General features: G+C 34.5%; 1 protein-coding gene and 1 pseudogene across 10 annotated transcripts in view; one reads left to right on the top strand and one right to left on the bottom strand.

The window, feature by feature from the left end:
• CDH12 (cadherin 12) overlaps positions 1 to 17,819 on the top strand; it is a 1,102,672-nt gene that overhangs the window by 694,615 nt on the left and 390,238 nt on the right.
• On the bottom strand, positions 6,458 to 16,378 carry PMCHL1 (pro-melanin concentrating hormone like 1 (pseudogene); annotated as a pseudogene). Its single transcript, NR_003921.1, has 4 exons — positions 16,147 to 16,378; positions 14,582 to 14,656; positions 6,734 to 6,832; positions 6,458 to 6,626 (listed from the first exon to the last, which is right to left on the bottom strand). The product of NR_003921.1 is annotated as a pro-melanin concentrating hormone like 1 (pseudogene) (transcript).

Genomic DNA, 17,819 nt, shown 5'->3' with positions numbered 1-17,819 from the left:
TATTGTCATCATGCAAACAAAAAGTGTATTCTGTCATAATGATATAAAAGTAAGGTGTACACGGCTAATATTGGGAAGCAAGCCACCAAGTATAGTGCAGCAGAGATAGGTTTAGAAATTCATTCTAAATCAAGCTGAATTACCACCGTGATATTTCTAAAGAACACCCCCATTCAGCTTTTTATTTGCTCCTGTGGGAAATTAATCTTTCATTATGTGAGTACAAGGTCTTCATGAATGGATCCTTTGATAAAATGGAACTGTGTTGTACCAACCTCCCAGTGGTTTTCTGGGGACTAATAGAAAATGCTTCTGCATCACTTAACAAGACAACTGACTTGTGATAAGTGCTCAGTAAATATTATCTATTTTATCATATGCAAAAATAATGAGGGGAGCGTGCATGTAAAAACACAGATACAGCCATTTTTCCTTTCCAAATGGTGTTTATCACCAATACTATTTCAGAATACTTTGCAAGATATGGTGGGCTACTGAGGCCAGGGTGATTAGTATTCAAGTTAAGTAGTACTAAGTAGCCTTTTCTAGGTTAATGTTGGTGCATTAATAACATAACCATTTGTCTAAGAAGATTCATCCTAAATTGCAAAGAGAAAAAATATGAAATGGATATATAAAACACTTTAAAGTTGTACTCTCCCTCTATTTTATATATGAGGACCTCATGACTAGGTATGAGTACACATAGTGAATTGTAATAATACGTTCATTTACACCTAGACAATTATTTTCATGAATACAGGATGAAAATTATTACATTTGAATCTCATTATAATCTTTATCCCGGAAAAAAAAACATATTGGAATAAAGTGGATTTAGACTTCATGCCAAATATTTATTTAGATGAATTTGCAAATAGACCCATGCTTAAAAGTATGTGAGATTTAAATTAGCATATTAAAGACTTAATTATAATTAAATGCTATTGCATTCTATTTTTGATTCAAAAAGTTTTCAGCATTGCCTCCTTGGTTTTTATTTGTTTTTAACTGAGCTTACAGAACTAACTAGGAAAATATATGCCAGGCATTATTAGCATATCATAATATAAACATTTATTTGACATTCAGATCTTGTGTATTTTGAAGGGCAGAATAAAATAGAAGGGGAATTTTTTTTTCAGATTTTATGAGAGGTAAGCTAAATGTCTATCTTCTTGTATATTTTTGTTAGCAAAGAATCTGGATATCCATCTTGAGATCATATTTGCAAATGACTTTGATGGAACACTTAAATTTCATTTGGTGAATGACAGCTCAGAAGCTTCAAATGTGCCTGGGTGTATGTTACTTTCATTTCCTGGTGTGTGCATAGGTCTGAAGAGCTATGAGAAAATATTATCATTATATGATACTCTTGCAATCCAAGAACACCTACAAAATTACTCTTCTCAGCTGAGACGTAATGAGATTCTCTTTATGACCAGGTTCAATCTTCTTTCCTCATGGAACAGGTAGAAGGAAAGAGAGAAATTGCTCAAGATGCAAATTATGTGTACTCCTGTGACCCAGGTGAACCAGACCTTACAAACTGCCTGTCAGGGAGATGTAAATTTCTTGTAAGCAGCTAGATCACTAGACTCAAAGGAAGTTATTGATTTTCCTATAGTGTCTCCAATGCAGAAATGAAAGACTTACAAGTTTGTGATGTAGATGCTTTCTAGTCTTTCTTTTGTTAAACATGTCATTTTTCACCTGTTAATACTAGAGTTCAGATAGCATAGAGACTTGTTGGAAAATACATGCTTTTCTTCCCCCTCTGGTTATAAAGAAAACAAAAAGAGCAGAGGGAAACATTCAGTAGGGTCACAGTGGGTAAAATTCCAACATCCTCGCATCACTGTCTACTTTAATCAATACGCATTAACACAGGCTACATTATGCATATGTAAAAAATGCTTGCCATCTCAGTGAAAAATGGCACAGCAATTAAAATGTCAAAAGGCTAAGGAGACAATATGAGATTAAGTGCAGTTATAATTTTATTTTAAAATGTCTCAGTTCTCTGGTGCTCATTGGAGTGTTCTTTTTAAAATGATTTCAAATTTGGGAACATTAGCAAAACCCAGCCAGCTACTTAGTATCTTATGTAAAAACTGTATTTTTCAGTCACCTTCCTTCTTTAGCTAAATTAAATGACACATGTAGTCTTTTTTTTCTCAATGATTTAAAGACAGCAAATATGCCATTATTTTTCTTTAAGTATATGTATATACGATTTTACATAAAGTATTAAAATGAGGACTCCTTAACATGTATCTTAGCATTTTTTCATCAAGTTGAGTAAGACTTTATAGGCAAACATTGTTCAATAATAAAAATTATGCTCATTAAATTTTGAGAAATCTCTATTAATTCTCCTTTTCATATTTTTTCTCATTAAGATGCAATTTAAGTGTACCTCTCTTTCATTAGTTGGGCCATTTAAGCTAGGTGGTATACCTTTAATCTCTGAGAAAGCTTAGGTGATATGCTTGTCTACAGACAGAAGAAGGTTAGAAACTGACTTCTGATGAGACATGTAAAATAGAGTGTGCTCATGCACAATTCCTAGGCCATGCCACACAGTTCCCACTTTCATCATTCTTAGTGAACGCATAAGTGAAAACAGGAATAGAATATTTAATGTTATCTTTTATATATATATATCAGTAAGCAAAGATGCAAACCTGCATGGCTCCACCTCAGGGAACCCCAAGGGGTACATTTGTGCAGGGACTTAACCTCCCATATCAGACTCTAAGGAAGCAGAGTAATAAGACCCTGACATGCTACTGGCTGACATATAGGTTTTATTAGATTAAAAGCTCTGAAATGGCCATAAGGCAGAATGAGTCGTTGCATATTTTCTGCTTCTAGAAGGCATAGAATTCTAGTCCATAAACCAAGTGCATGAAGCTCATGTCTGTAAATCTTTTTTACATCAGTGTTGCCTGTGTTTCTTCCTATTGTTTAGGAATATATTTCCTTAAACATATGACTTATGCTAATACAGTATTTCTGATTCAATATCAACTATTTCTGTTCTGTATAAAAATAACTTTATTTATAAAATATTTTTAAGTACTTTAAAACATATATGTTCAATGATCTATTCCAATAACCCAAAGTCTGCACATAATAAATCATTCCAGAAAAAATTACTATATTTCTCTAACATATAGACTAGGCTTAATTGTTCTTCTTTATCTAATATTGTAATTAGGTAGTAGCATGATTAAAAGATCTTTATATCTGCTTAAAACCCTAAATTTCTAACTATGTTTCCTAACATTTTAAATACAATTACAATTTTTATTTTTTTAGATGTTGAGATATTGACGGTTCTTAGCTCTCCAATTATATGCCACCTCTCCTTGAACATGGAATAATCAATAGTCTAAGTTGGCCCCAAAGACTACCCCTCCAGCAATAGTTTCGCTTCTACATAATTCCAGGGAATGTCACTATAATAGATTTTACTCTCATTATTTGGTCATGTTACATAGCACACTTGACCTTAAAATAGAGCACAATTTAATCACATGAGCCTTTCTATAAGCAGAGAGTTTGTCTAGTTGAAAGCAGAAGGGAAATCAGAGAAATCTGAGGTGTGATATGGATTCAATATGAGGGCAGTTCTTTATTACAGAAACGGAAGGGGCCTGTGGCATAATCTGATAGCAGCCTGGAGGAGGTGAGGTCACTCCCAGCTGACTGATAGTGAGGCAAGAGGGACCTCAATCTTACAACCACAAGGAAACAAATGCTGCCAACACTCTGAGGGGCCTTTGAGCCAATCTTTTTGTAGTCAGGCCTCCAGATGAGGATGCAGTTGGCCAGCACCCTGATAGCCTTATGAGACCCTGAGAAGAGGACTTGGCCAAAATGTGGCAGGCTCCCGACCAACAGAAATTGTGCAATAATAAATCTGTGTTAAGTGGCTAAATTTGTGACAATGCAATAGACAGAAAAATACAGTGCTATGTGGATTAAGGAAGTTCAGTGGAAGGTATTGTATTTTGAAATTTCTAAGCAATTTTTATTTTATTTTTGATATTATTATTATTATATATGTGTATATATACATGTATACGTGTGTATATATATGTGTACATATATAGTGTGTATATATATGTGTACACATATACATATATACATATGTGTATATATATGTGTACACATATACATATATACATATGTGTATATATATGTGTACATATATATGTGTACATATATATGTGTACATATATATGTGTACATATATATGTGTACATATATATGTGTATATATTCACTATATATGTATATGTGTGTGTGTGTGTAAACTGGGGTTAGGGGAAATGGAGAGATGTTGGTCAAAGGATAGAAATTTTCAATTATGCAGAAAAAGTAATTTCTGGAGACCTAATGTAGAGCATGGTGACTATAGTTAGTAATACTATATTGTATAATTGAAATCAGCTTAGAGAGTAGGTCTTAAATGTTCTCACTACACAAAAAGATAATTATGAGAGGTGATGTATATGTTAACTAGCTTGATTGTGGTAATCATTTCATAATATATACATATATCAAAACATCACAGTGTACAGCATACATAAATATATTCAATTTTTTTGTCATTACACCTCATTAAAGCTGAACAGAAAAGCATCACTGATAAATTTCTAAAATAATAATAATAATTGGCCAGACGAGATGGCTCATGCCTGTAATACATATATACATATATATACATATATATCTGTGCATGTATGTGTGTATATATACACATATACACATATATACATATATATGTTTGTGTGTGTGTGTGTATGTGTGTGTATATATATATATATTTATATATATATATATACATATATATATATACACACACACATATATGTATATATATAACCTTTTCTTTATCCAGTCATCTGTTGGCAGACATTTAGGTTGATTTCATATCTTGGCCCCTGTGAATAATGTTGCAATGAACATGTTTTAATTAAAAATACTCATGAATGTATATATTGAATGTTCACTATGTACCAGGCATTAGGTTCCTATTTACATCAAGTTTCTCATTTGGTCTTTAAAAATACAGTGAGAGATAATACCACTGTAACTCCCACTTTACAGATAAAGAAACTGAGGCTTACAGAGCTTAAGGAATTTCCTCTGGGTGAAAATGGTTACTAAGTTTCAAATCCAAAATACAAAACCAAGCAGTTGGATTGCAGAGCTTATATGTTTACCTCTCCCTTCAGGGTTTCATAGAGCCTCAGAGCATGGGTGACCCATTCCAAACTCTAATAGAAAAACAAGCAATGTGGTTAAGACCCTAGATAATACATGGGAAATCAGTGAGTGGAGTAGGAACATCACACGGGATGGGAGGGGGGTCTTAAAAATGCATCAAAATCAGCACACCTTCTAAACCAGCATTTGCAATTTATAAAGAATTTTAGGTAATTCATCTGCACATTGAAGTTTAATTTAGGAATATAGATTGGTGCAGCCACTGTGGAAAACAGTATGGAGGTTTCTAAAAAAAAAAAAAAAGAAAAGAAAAAAACGAAAAGAAAAGAACTATCGTATGACCCAGCACTTTCTCTTCTGGGTATATATATCCAAAGAAAAATAAATCACCACCCTGTAAAAATATCTGTGCTCCAATGCTCACTGGAGCATCGTCCTCAATAGCTCAGGTACAGAAACAACTGAAGCATCCATCAAGAAGTGGATGGGTAAATAAATTGTGGCATATGTACACAATAGAAAACTATTAAACCTTAAAAAAGGACATGAACCTAGGGGGTTGCACATGGATGAACCTAGAGGACGTTACGTTAAGTGAAATAAGCTAGGAACAGAGAGACAAATGCCACAATATCTCACTCTTGAAAGCTGATATCCTAGAAGTAGAGAGAGGAGAACAGTGGTTTCCAAGAGTAGGGATATTTGAGGAGTGAGTAGGGTGAGGAGACATTGGTCCAAGGATACAAAATTTCAATTATATAGGAGGAATACTTCAAGAGATCCGTTTTACAACATGGTGACTATAGTTAGTAATATATTGTATTCTTGGAAAATGTTGAGAGTGGATATTAACTGTTCTCACCACAAAAGTAAATATGTGAGCCAATACCTATGTTAATTAGCTGGATTTAGTCATTCCAGAATGTATACATGTTTCAAAATTTCATGTTGTACGTGGTAAATACATAAAATTTTATCTGCCAATTTTTAACAATTGAACACATGTAATCATTATCCTAAGAATTCCAGAAAGGTGAATATGAATTTCTTGTTTGATGATACAGCCTCAGGCAAATCATTTCATCTGTCTTCCTGACAGTTTCACACTTCTATAAAACAGAGATAAATTATCAATTTTTAAAAAGATTTAATTATGTCTAATGTTCAGCATATTGTCTGCCACAACATAATTAATAAATAATAAGTCGTTTTAGTTTTGTTTTTTGTTGTCGTTGTCATTGTTGTTTTTTAATGATGGAGGTAAACCAAGGAGGGTAGGGGTTTTAAAACCTCTTAGTTTTCCCTTCTCTCTGGAGCCCAGCAGTGGCTTCATGAGACCAAGTGTCTACTTTGCGGATCCAGTCTCCTGGTAGTACGGATGGGCTATAGAGGAATTCCAGAACGAGATGGGAAAGGCTTAGCAGGCCCACAGCTCCGTGAGCTGTTATCATGAAATAGCAGCTTGGAGCTGGAGTTAGCTATGTGCTTACCTTTCCCCCGAGAACGGAACTGCACTGATAACGTGAAATCGTACCATTTCTCAACAAGTGAAGGTGGTCTCTTTACATTCTCAAAGCCTTGAGTCATAACTATCTGTTTTCAAAAGTTGACATTATCAGATCAGTTACTGTGAAAACCAGAAACGTTTTATTTTAGTCTTTTTATGTGAGTAAAAGATACAATAAAATCTTGGTAATTAAATATATTGACTTAACTGTTTTCACTTATACTCCTTTAAAAAGCTATTTTTTTAAAAGCCTGAATCATTGCTTCTCTGTATATTTAATCTTCAGTCTTGGAATTGCTTCTGAGGGGAAAATTACTTTTAAAATAATTTTCTTTGCAGTTAGGAAAATGAGGACCTATAGTCCTAACATGCTCTTGATTTGTGAATTACTTGTTTCACTGCTCAGGGAACAAAATTATTGGCAGTGGAAAAATTGCACACACAAAAAAAGAGTTAACCCTTTTGGTGATTTAATCTCTTGAGGAAGGATTTCAGCAGGGTACAAAAACTGATAAGATATTTATCTACAAGTCACAGAATGGCTTATCAACTTGATCCTTTGATTATTTATAAATACTATCATAAGCCTATTAAGTTCTAAGCTGGTATTTCCCAAAGTGAGTTCCTTTACTTCATAATGCCTCGTTCTTACAGCTTATTACACTTTTTTAATAGTCCCAGGAATTTACATTTATTCTAATTTCATCAGTTTAAAGGCAATAAAGTGTTCACAAACAGAGTTTCAGTATCAGGCTGCATGTATTTGAATCCAGAATCTACCACTCAAAGGCTGTGTGACCTTGGACAAGCCATTTAACCTCCCTGTGCCTTGGTTTCCACATGAGTAAAATGGGTGTGGATAGACTCATGGCAGGTAGAATTAAATGGATTAATTAATGTAAGGCACTGATGTACAAAAAGTGCGTAAAACACCTTAATGATTTATGTAAGCTGCTAAATCTCATTTCTTAACTAAACAATTCTTTTTATCCCCTCAGCTAAGGCCAAGACTACTCTGTGAGGTTGTGCAATGTGTGTGCTGCACAATAGTGCCTTGTGGAGGGAGCCGGAGAGTCTAAAATTCCTTCTCTGCCACCATCACCAAGCTATGTGCTCTTAAGCTTGACCTGTTAAGAGCTGGTCTGTTTTTCTGATTTGTCCACCTAGAGGGGATATCTTTTTTTCTAACAAAGGTACTAGTAAAGGTATACCTTATTAGAATATCTAAGCACAGGTCTGTCTGGCCCAGTGCTTATGACTGATAAGATTTGGGGCATTACCTATTAACAAAAACATCTGATTCCATTTCTTTTGGCCACCCCAGATCTAGGAGCAATCTCAGTTTTTCTGTTCTTAAGTATTTGTAAAGCTACAGTTTTATCTGATAGCCAAATGTTCAGCATAGCTATACATAAATTCTTATGTTTCATATATATATATGTGTGTGTGTGTGTTCTATATATATACATATATATGTTCTACATATACATAAGTGTTCTCTCTCTATATATACATATATATATAATTACATTTGCTGTTCATTGCTAGTTATTGAGTACTGAATGAATAGTAGGCTGCAAAACCATAAGGATATTATATTATGCACTTGACTTTGAGGGCTTTGCATTCTTTTCAGAAGGCAGGTACAGTACATTTAAAATAGTGAAACAAATTAGACATTAAATATGTAGCAAATATTAACTCACTTTGTGAATAATTAATGATAATTGTCATATTAAAAAGTGTTAGCAGACAAGGAAGACAAACATTTCACAAAAGAATGGAAAGGGAAAAACCAAAACTTTTCTACAGAATATTCATACCTGAGTGGATGTCGATGTAAATGTAATATAGAATTAAAGCTATTTCCAAGGTTTTAAATCAACGATCATTGAAACCATGTACTAATGTGTACGTACTTGAATGAAATATTTATTGAATCAATTAATTTATGAGCGAAATATTTTATTTTATTATTTATTATTATTTTTTGAAACTTGCTCTGTCACCCAGGCTGGAGTGCAGTCACATGATCTTGGCTCATTGCAACCTCCGCCTTCCAGGTTCAAGCAATTCTCTGCCTCAGCCTCCCGAGAAGCTGGGATTACAGGCACCTGCCACCATGCCTGGCTAATTTTTGTATTTTTAGTGGAGACAGGGTTTCACCATCTTGGCCAGGCTGGTCTTGAACTCCTGACCTTGTGATCCACCCAGACGTGGTGGCTCACGCCTGTAATCCCAACACTTTGGGAGGCCAAGGCAAGTGAAATATTTTAAACATGAGTCAAAGTTTTTCTGTTTACTTATTACTGACTTTAAGTCTGTTGAGGTTGGAGATTAGATCATTCATGTAGGATGTATAGAGACTCTACTGAAACTCAGGTGAGATCTTTCTAGAGGTTCAGGAAGCAGAAGAAACAGAATAGAACTAATCAGGGAAAGCACTGCTTATTCTGCATTGACTGAGTACTTATACAATTTGGGAGATTTTCTTAAAATTCTTGCTAAGGATGGCTTGAGATTGGGTCTAGAAAAACATATAGGACAACTCAAGCAAAATAAATTGAAGCATTACGGTAAAGACCATGGCAGGCCTTTAAAAGACAGTCACCCAGTAAAGCAGTAGGATGTAGTTTAGTGCTGTATACTGTAAAATTGAGCATGCAATTTGGAATTACACATTTTAGTGGGTAGACTTGTGTCCCTCAAGAATATATGTTCACATTCTAATCCTTGGTACTTATAAATATGACCCTTTTTAGAAATAGGGTCTTTTGAGATGTAGTCAAGTTAAAATGAAGTCCTACTTAGTTAAGGTGGGAGCTAAATTCAATGATTAGTATCTTTTGTTTATTTATTTTTTGAGACGGAGTCTTGCTTGTCACCCAGGCTGGAGTGCAGTGACACGATCTTGGCTCACTGCAACCTCTGCCTCCTGGGTTCAAGCCATTCTCCTGCCTCAGCCTCCCCAGTAGCTGGGATTGCAGGTGTGCACTACCACGGTCAGCTAATTTTTGTATTTTTAGTGAGACGGGGTTTCACCATGTTGGCCAGTTTGGTCTTAAACTCCTGACCTCGTGTTCCGCATGCCTCGGCCTCCCAAAGTGCTGGGATTACAGGCATGAGCCACCATGCCCAGCCAGTGGTTAGTATCTTTAAAAGAGAAAGGAGAGGAATATTTGAATACAAAGATGCAGGGGAGTTATACAAGAAAGAAGGCCATTCAATGACAGAGTTGGAGATTGGATTGATACAACTAATCAAGAAATCAAGGAATGCCACGGAGTGACAAGAACCACCAGAAGCTAGGAAAGAGGAATAAGATGGGTTTTTCCTAAGAGGCTCCAGAAGGAACCAACTCTGCTGCTTTCTGACTTCTGGCCCAAACTGTGAGAAAACAGATTTCTGGCCTTCTGAACTGTAAAAAAAATCAATTTCTGTTATTTTAAGATGCCAAGTTTGTGCAAATTTGCTATGGCAGCCTTAGAAAATTAATATAGATCTCTTCAAATGCATTCCCACCTCTGCTATGTGATACTAGTTACTTCTCAAAATCTTCATTGGCCATTTAATTAAAATAAACTAAAATCCATAACTTTAGTGAAGGAATGTGGACAGTAGCAACATATAATGCACAACTCAGAAAACTGTGAAGATTACATGAGACAATGTAGACAAAGTACTTAGAGTGATTTTGGAAATGCAGCAAATACTTAATAAATAGTAGCTTTTAGTTTTAGAGGGAGCAGTTGGGACATATGGATGAGACTCAGAGGTGTATGAAGTTGGCATAGAAAGAACAAACAAGCATCAAAATCCCCATCACAGGAAAAAAGTCTTTAAGTACTTAATAGATTTGTAGGTGGTCGTGAAGAAAAGGGGCGCTGTACAGGAACACAGTCCTAAAGTAGCTGGTATACTGCTTAGGAAATCAAAGAGCAGAAAAATAACATGGTTTGTGTACTTTAGGATGGAAACCACTGGTGTGAGTTAGTAAGGAAGGAAAAGCAAAAATCAGCCAACTCTGAGGTTGTGCACAGATGTACTGACCACTACCAGATGAATATGATATCTGATAATGATACAGCTTGGCTGTGTCCCCACCCAAATCTTATCTCGAATTGTAGCTCCCATAATTCCACATCTTGTGGGAGGGAACTGGTGGGAGATAATTGAATTATGGGGGGACAGTTTTCCCCATACTGTTCTTGTGGTAGTGAATAAGTCTCAGGAGATCTGATGATTTTATAAGAGATTTCCCCTTTCTCTTGACTCTCATTGCCTTTGCCTGCCACCATGTAAGATGTGCCTTTTGCCTTCTGCCATGATTGTGAGGCCTCCCCAACCACGTGGAACTATGAGTCCATTAAACCTCTTTTTTTTTTTTTTTAAGATAAACTACCCAGTCTCAGGTATGACTTAATCAGCAGCATGAAAATGGACTAATACAGATACTTTTCAAAAAGATTAGGGATTAATTAATTACCAATACCTACTCTTGGAGATACGATTTTCTTTTTTCTTGATAGGGCAAATCCAGTGGATTCCAATTGTTCTTTATAGAGAAAATGTGACTTCTGTCAACTCCACTTAATTAAGAGTTTACCTTGGATTTTAATGTTGGGAGCAAGCAGAGAAAAAAAGAACAAACATCCTCCAAAGGGAACAAGAATGCATTATAAACTGAGTGAAAAGTCAGAGACAAATGCCCAATGTGATCCTCAAGATAAAAACGAAAATGGCCATTGTTGATCAAATGGCATTAGTTCACTAAGAAAATGGTCCTGGAAATTAATTTTGCTAAAATGTCTTTGATGAAAGCAAAGTAAGTACAGAATGAGAATAACAAAGAGTTGGAGAATAATATATTAATTATCACAGTAGATAAATTTCTGGAAATCTGACTGGATGAACAAAGTTAAATTTCCATAAGAACATACTTCAGGAAGTAATATCACAAAGATGTGTCTGTATATACATTTATAATATATGTCCATTTGCAATAAACAATATGTCTGAAGCTTCCTGAAGGTAATGGCTAAGCTGATCCTATTTCATGTGGTCTTGTCTTGTTTAGCAGGTGGAAATAGACAATACATAGTCATTCAGCAGGCTGTTGTTTTCATATGATACAAAGTAAAGTTGATATAACTGTTTAGATGGAACAATCACAGCATGGCTTACTTTAAGAGAAAACCCAAGCTTCCCGAGTTTATATATGATTTATTTTTTCTTCATCTATATTAAGCAATAGTAAAACTAAGCCTTGATAGGGGGACACTTCCAATCTTTTACATTTTAGTTGAATTAAAAGATATCTCCTTTTCAAAAAATAAGACCTATAAATGATTTGTTTTCTAGGTAACTAGTGTACAATGCTCCTTCCCTCTGTTTGGTAGCTAAAGGTCTACAGTTATGAGAAAATGGAATAACGTAATGGGGTAGAGGCCATAAAATATTTTAAACACATTACCAAGTTATTTTTTCTATCTTCTATTTTTAACTTATACAAAACATTTATTCATTTTGTGTTAACAACTTTGTTATTTATTCAGTCTGTTGTTAAATGTTATGAACATTTGAAAATTTAATCCTGATTGATACAAGGAGGAACATAAAAATATCTATAACAAAAATGTTTTCATGACCCCGTTGTTAAAAGATTAACCTTTTTTAAGGCCATGTTATGGGGACTTTTACTTGAGTGCTTACCATCAAGTATTTTAGATGTATTTCATTTATATTATTGCAAGGATTAAAATTAAATATGCTGTAAGTGGGAGAATTTGTATTATGATGGCTACTAAGAGTATTTAAAAGCATTATAAGTTTTCACACACCTCATTAACTAATATTGATTAGAATTTCGGAGTTAAAAATGTTGCTCATTTTACAGGTCATTACAATTAAGTGCTTACAGCCACCAGAATCATATTTTGGTAAAGTGTGTATTGCATAACCCAGGCACATTTTCATGCTAGAAAAATGTTTAAATGATATGCATTGCTTTGTATGATGGAAAGATAGGCGATCATTATGGATCTATTGCAAGGCACTGAATTGGAATATATTCAGATTGAATTTCTGAGCTGTGTTGTGCTTCAGAAATTTCTATATTCTCATCTCAATACTTAGACCTTCTCTTTCTCTACTCATCTGTGAAGATGATAATTCACTCCTTCATCAGTGCTCTATTTTGTACCTTCGATGTCCCTACTGTATGTCTGTCTCGAAACTATTGATTCAACAAAGAACTTTCTGCCACAGTTTATACCATTTTGGAGATGAAATACTTAACTGAATGTTCTCTTGTTCATTTAGCCACTGCTCACCGTTAGCCTTGCTTTCTTCCTTTCTATATACCCATATTTCTACCTAAATGGGTTAAAAAATTGATATATTGTGTGTTTATTCTTTGGAAGAGTTAACAATTAAGATTGTAGACAAAAGCATCACAATGGGAAAAACTGCCTTAGAGTTTTATTTGTGGAGAGTCAATATGAATTTGTCAAGGACCTATCAGGATCAATGTGGCAACCTAGCTCACCATCACTTTTGTGATATTTCAGTAAATAATTAAGAATCTCTTTCATGAACGAGCTGACAAATGTACTGGAAAGAACAAAGGCCTCATAAAAAGGTATCATGTGATAGAATCCTAGATCCCCCTCATTGCTAGCAGCTGTACGGACTTTGATAAATATTGATAGTTTATATATTGTACATGCACACATACACAGATATATATACACAGTTAGTTTCACATAATTGCATATATGTGATTTTGTCACAAATGGCCGTAGCTATTTTCTCACACAATGCAACTGTCTTGACGTGGAGTTGAAGAAAACTGGATTCAAGTTTCTATGTTCCCAGAATCTCCCACCTTTTCCAAAAAGCAATTTAATTTCTGAAAACCTTAGTGTCTTCTTCTGCAAAATAATGAGAAATACTTGTGCTTGAGTCCAACTCTAGGATTGTAGTCCCCTTTTTATAATATAATCAAGTTCCTCCATCTGGGCATTCAGTTAAATTCTACAACATTGCCGAAATCTGATTTGACTCTACAGAATATATATAGTCTATTTAACCAGATAGTAATTTAAAATTTTACAACATGCGTATTTTATGTAATATTAATAACAGTAATTTAAATTAATATTCAATACATACGGTTTGAATTTTTATAAGGTAATATTTGTTTTTAATTTTTTATTTTAATTTGTAACAAGCTCAAAATTATTACGTCAAAATGTGGAAAGACTGCCATTTTTGGTTTATAACAAGATGGTAAGAAATGCTTATAAGATTCTTACCAGTTAATCTAAGCAGGTAGAGAACCAGTATTAGTTAAACTTGGATATAGGAAAGATGCCTCCACATAACGAATAAAACACACTGCACATTTTTATCCCAATTTTCTTTTTACTTTTAGTGCAAAATCTTAATTAAAATTTTGACTGTGAGGCATTGACCAGGAGGCCAAAAATAATCAAAAGAGTTCAAATCTATGTGTCTTTATTGCACTTGAAGACAAAATTGTAACTAACACTGTTATGATTAGTAGTACATTAATTAAAATGGTTTAAGCTGGCAGTAATATAAATCAATGATCCTTTTCAAGTATTAGTTGGATAAAGTTAACATTAACTCAATTCTGCTTATTTTCTGGAAGTATTTTAAACTGTAACCAATAGATATGATATTTAAAATTTACTGTTTTTCAAATCTTAGAAGCTAATCATATTTCTAAACAGTTAGTGGATAAATTAAGAAAAGAACAACTTATATTTCTAGGGAAAATGATTTATTTTCTAAAATTTGCACTTACTTGAGTAGATAAAAGGACTGACTTTCAGAGATCACAATCACAGATTTATGTTTTGGTAGAAGTGGTCTGAGAATACTGGTAAAAATATACAGATGTTAGAGTATAACAGAATGAATAATCAGTACGTCAATAAACATTCTGAGAATCTGCAATTTACTGGTTGACTGCACTCTCCTTGACAAAGGTCTTTTTTTTTTTAAGTGGCAGTATGACTTGTCATTTATTTCAATGAAAATTTAAATGTTTCTTACAAATCCTCTGAAAAGTAAAACTGATATTTTTACAAACAGAAGTATATGCAAACAGTCACAATATGCATTAGGACACTGACGCTATTTCTTACATGCCAAGTAGTTCCTCCATTCTGGAGAACACCTCTTATCTGAAAGATTTTTTTTCTTCTACTATAAATTTGAATCTAAGTTATTTTTAAAGAGTCAAAAACAGAGCAGAACATTTTTGAACTGATAAACAAGAATATAGGCTGGACTCAGTGGTGCACGCCTGTAATCCCAGCACTTTGGGAAGCCGAGGCAGGTGGATCACGAGGTCAGGAGTTCCAGACCAACTTGACCAAGATGGTGAAACCTTGCCTCTACTAAAAATACAAAAACTAGCCAGGCATGGTGGTGGGCACCTGTAATCCCAGCTATTCATGAGGCTGAGGCAAGAAATTGCTTGAACCCGGGAGGCAGAGGTTTCAGTGAGCCGAGATCGTGCCATTGCACTCCAGCCTGGGCAACAGAGTGAGACTCCATCTCAAAAAAAAAAAAAAAAAAAGGAATATTATACATTTGTATTATAGTTCCACTCCAAATACGATAGCTAAAAGACAAATCAACCTTCTCTTTACAGAACACAGGCTCCAAACATAAATTTTTGTCTTATATGCTTTAGGTTTATGTATATATAAAACCATTCACCAAAGACATGCTTAATTTTTGAGATTAAGGTGTAAATTATGATGCCTTATTTTGGTCTAGAGTGTATGTAAGGTTAGTATGTTAAGCATTGTTCAAAAATACTAGTAAGTCATAATTATACAGAATTTTCACAAAGTTAAATGCACAGAAAAAGCCTATGATTTTGGTTACTGATCTATCTTAACGCTACTTTCTTTTAAAACAGACATTTAACATAATACCCAAGTTACAGTAACATTATGGGCTTCTCCTCCCATTGGCAATTAAATGCTTTTCTTCTGAAAAGATGACATAGACCAACAGGTCCATATCAAAAAAAGAATCAGACTTGCCAGCAAGATTGGTAGACTCTTCCCAGCATACAGCTGAGTGCTGAAGGAAGAAGAAAGTTTAAATTGTTTAAAGGACTATAATTATCACACAACATTTATTAAGAAAAAAGAAGAATGGATCTAGTATAACTAATTCTGAGTAAACCAAAATGATAAGAACTAATTAAACACTTCTTAATCCCACATTTTTGGCAGGTGTAATTGAGCCATGGTCTTATTTGATTTTGTTATGATTGCATCCAAATTTGCTTAAACTCAGAGTTCTGTTTAATGGTAGGATGTAAGAATTGAATTTTGAAAAACTACTCACTGTCAAAATCTCTCCTTCCTACAGGAAATTTAGCTGAGTTTTCTTCATCCCCAGTTTCTCTCTTTTCTTGTGTTGATTCGGTATCCTGAACCCCATTCTCAGCTGGAAAAGCTACAGATCCTTCTAGTGCAAGATAAGGTTTTATAACCAGATTCAGTGACAGACCATGATTTAAGAAATTATGTTTTTTCTTTGGTTTTTGTGACAGCATAATCCCATTGTTCTACTACCCTAGCAGTTCCTCCCTAGACAATGAGGCCAGTACCCCTTCCTCTACTTCATATAGGCTTTCTTTTTTACTCTATACTGTAATCCTGAATGCTTTCATGCATCTCATGGCTTTCATTATCATTTCTATTTTGATAAGTCCCAAAATGATATCTTCTGTTTATATTCAACTTTAGAATGCCAGACCTGTCATCTCTAGTTGCCTATCTCAGAGGCACCTTAAATTCAACCTGTTCAAAAATCATCTTGTGCCTTAACCCAGATTCACTGCTTCTCCAATGTTCCCTGTTCCAGTTTATAGCAACACCATCCTCAGTTTCTCATTCCAAAAGCCCAGGAGTAATGTGTAAGTAATAGATTCTGGAACCAAACCACCCTATGGCCGTACAACTCTGGGCAAGTTATTTATTAACCCTTTGATTTACTTTCCTCATCAATGATGTTTGAGTATAATAGCACCTACTTCTTATGGTTATTGTGCAAATTAAATCTACTAATACATGTGAGAAACTTAATGATTAGTACCTAGCAATGCATTATGAGTGTTAACTATTGCTTTTCCTCTTATATTTTTTAACTTTTATCTTCTTTGCCTCAGACCCACAATCAGTGAATCGCTAAATTCTCCTATTTTTAACTCCAAAATATTTTTCAATTCTATTCTGTTTGTTTTCACCATCTTGGCCAAGTCCACCATCATGTTCTAATTGCAGATCTACTCATATTGCTGCCTTGCTTATGGCTTCACAGTATTCTCATGGAAAAAACCCCAAAAGATTCGGTAATATAAAATCCTTGCTGGCCAGCCTGGCTTTAGAATACTTCGTCTTTCAGAATGTGTGTCCACCACCTCCTCCTCTCTAAGGCTTTTACTCCACACACCTTCCAGTCTCACTAAAGAACTAAGGATGCTCTTCTCTCCTAATGAAGTTGTGTTTACTTCTCAGGTCTCAACTTACATACAAATTTTTCCAGAGAATTTCCTGAAACACTCACCTCTCTCACGAGACTAACTTGCTCCAACTACTCACATAGATAGTATAACATTTATCATTCTAATTAAGTAATAATGTGTAGCTTTTTTATTCACATCTGTCTCAAAGGTAGGGACAGTGAGAGAGAATCATGCCATTCAAATAGAAGTTTTATTCTCAGCATCCAGCACATCAATTCACCATAGTAGAAGCTCAGTGAGTATCTGTCCAATTAATGAATAAATGTTGAGCACTGTAAGCTACCCTTATGGATACCATAGTTTAATAAGGAAGCAGAGAGTTGGCAAAAATAAATTTGAGAAGTATGATAATGGATACATTAAAAAGTGCCTTGTTGTCCACTAGGAGGAAAGGTTTTAATTTAATCTGAGTTGATAAAGAAGGCCTACATAAGGAAGCTTTGTGATTTCAGGCTGAGGATAACAGTGAGCAGGAGTTGGCTCTGTGAAG

The sequence above is a fragment of the Homo sapiens genome, chromosome 5, assembly GCF_000001405.40.
Source record: "Homo sapiens chromosome 5, GRCh38.p14 Primary Assembly".
Classification (NCBI taxonomy): Eukaryota; Metazoa; Chordata; class Mammalia; order Primates; family Hominidae; genus Homo; species Homo sapiens.
Note: the sequence above shows the minus strand (reverse complement) of the source record. Positions and strands in the feature narration are given on the sequence as shown.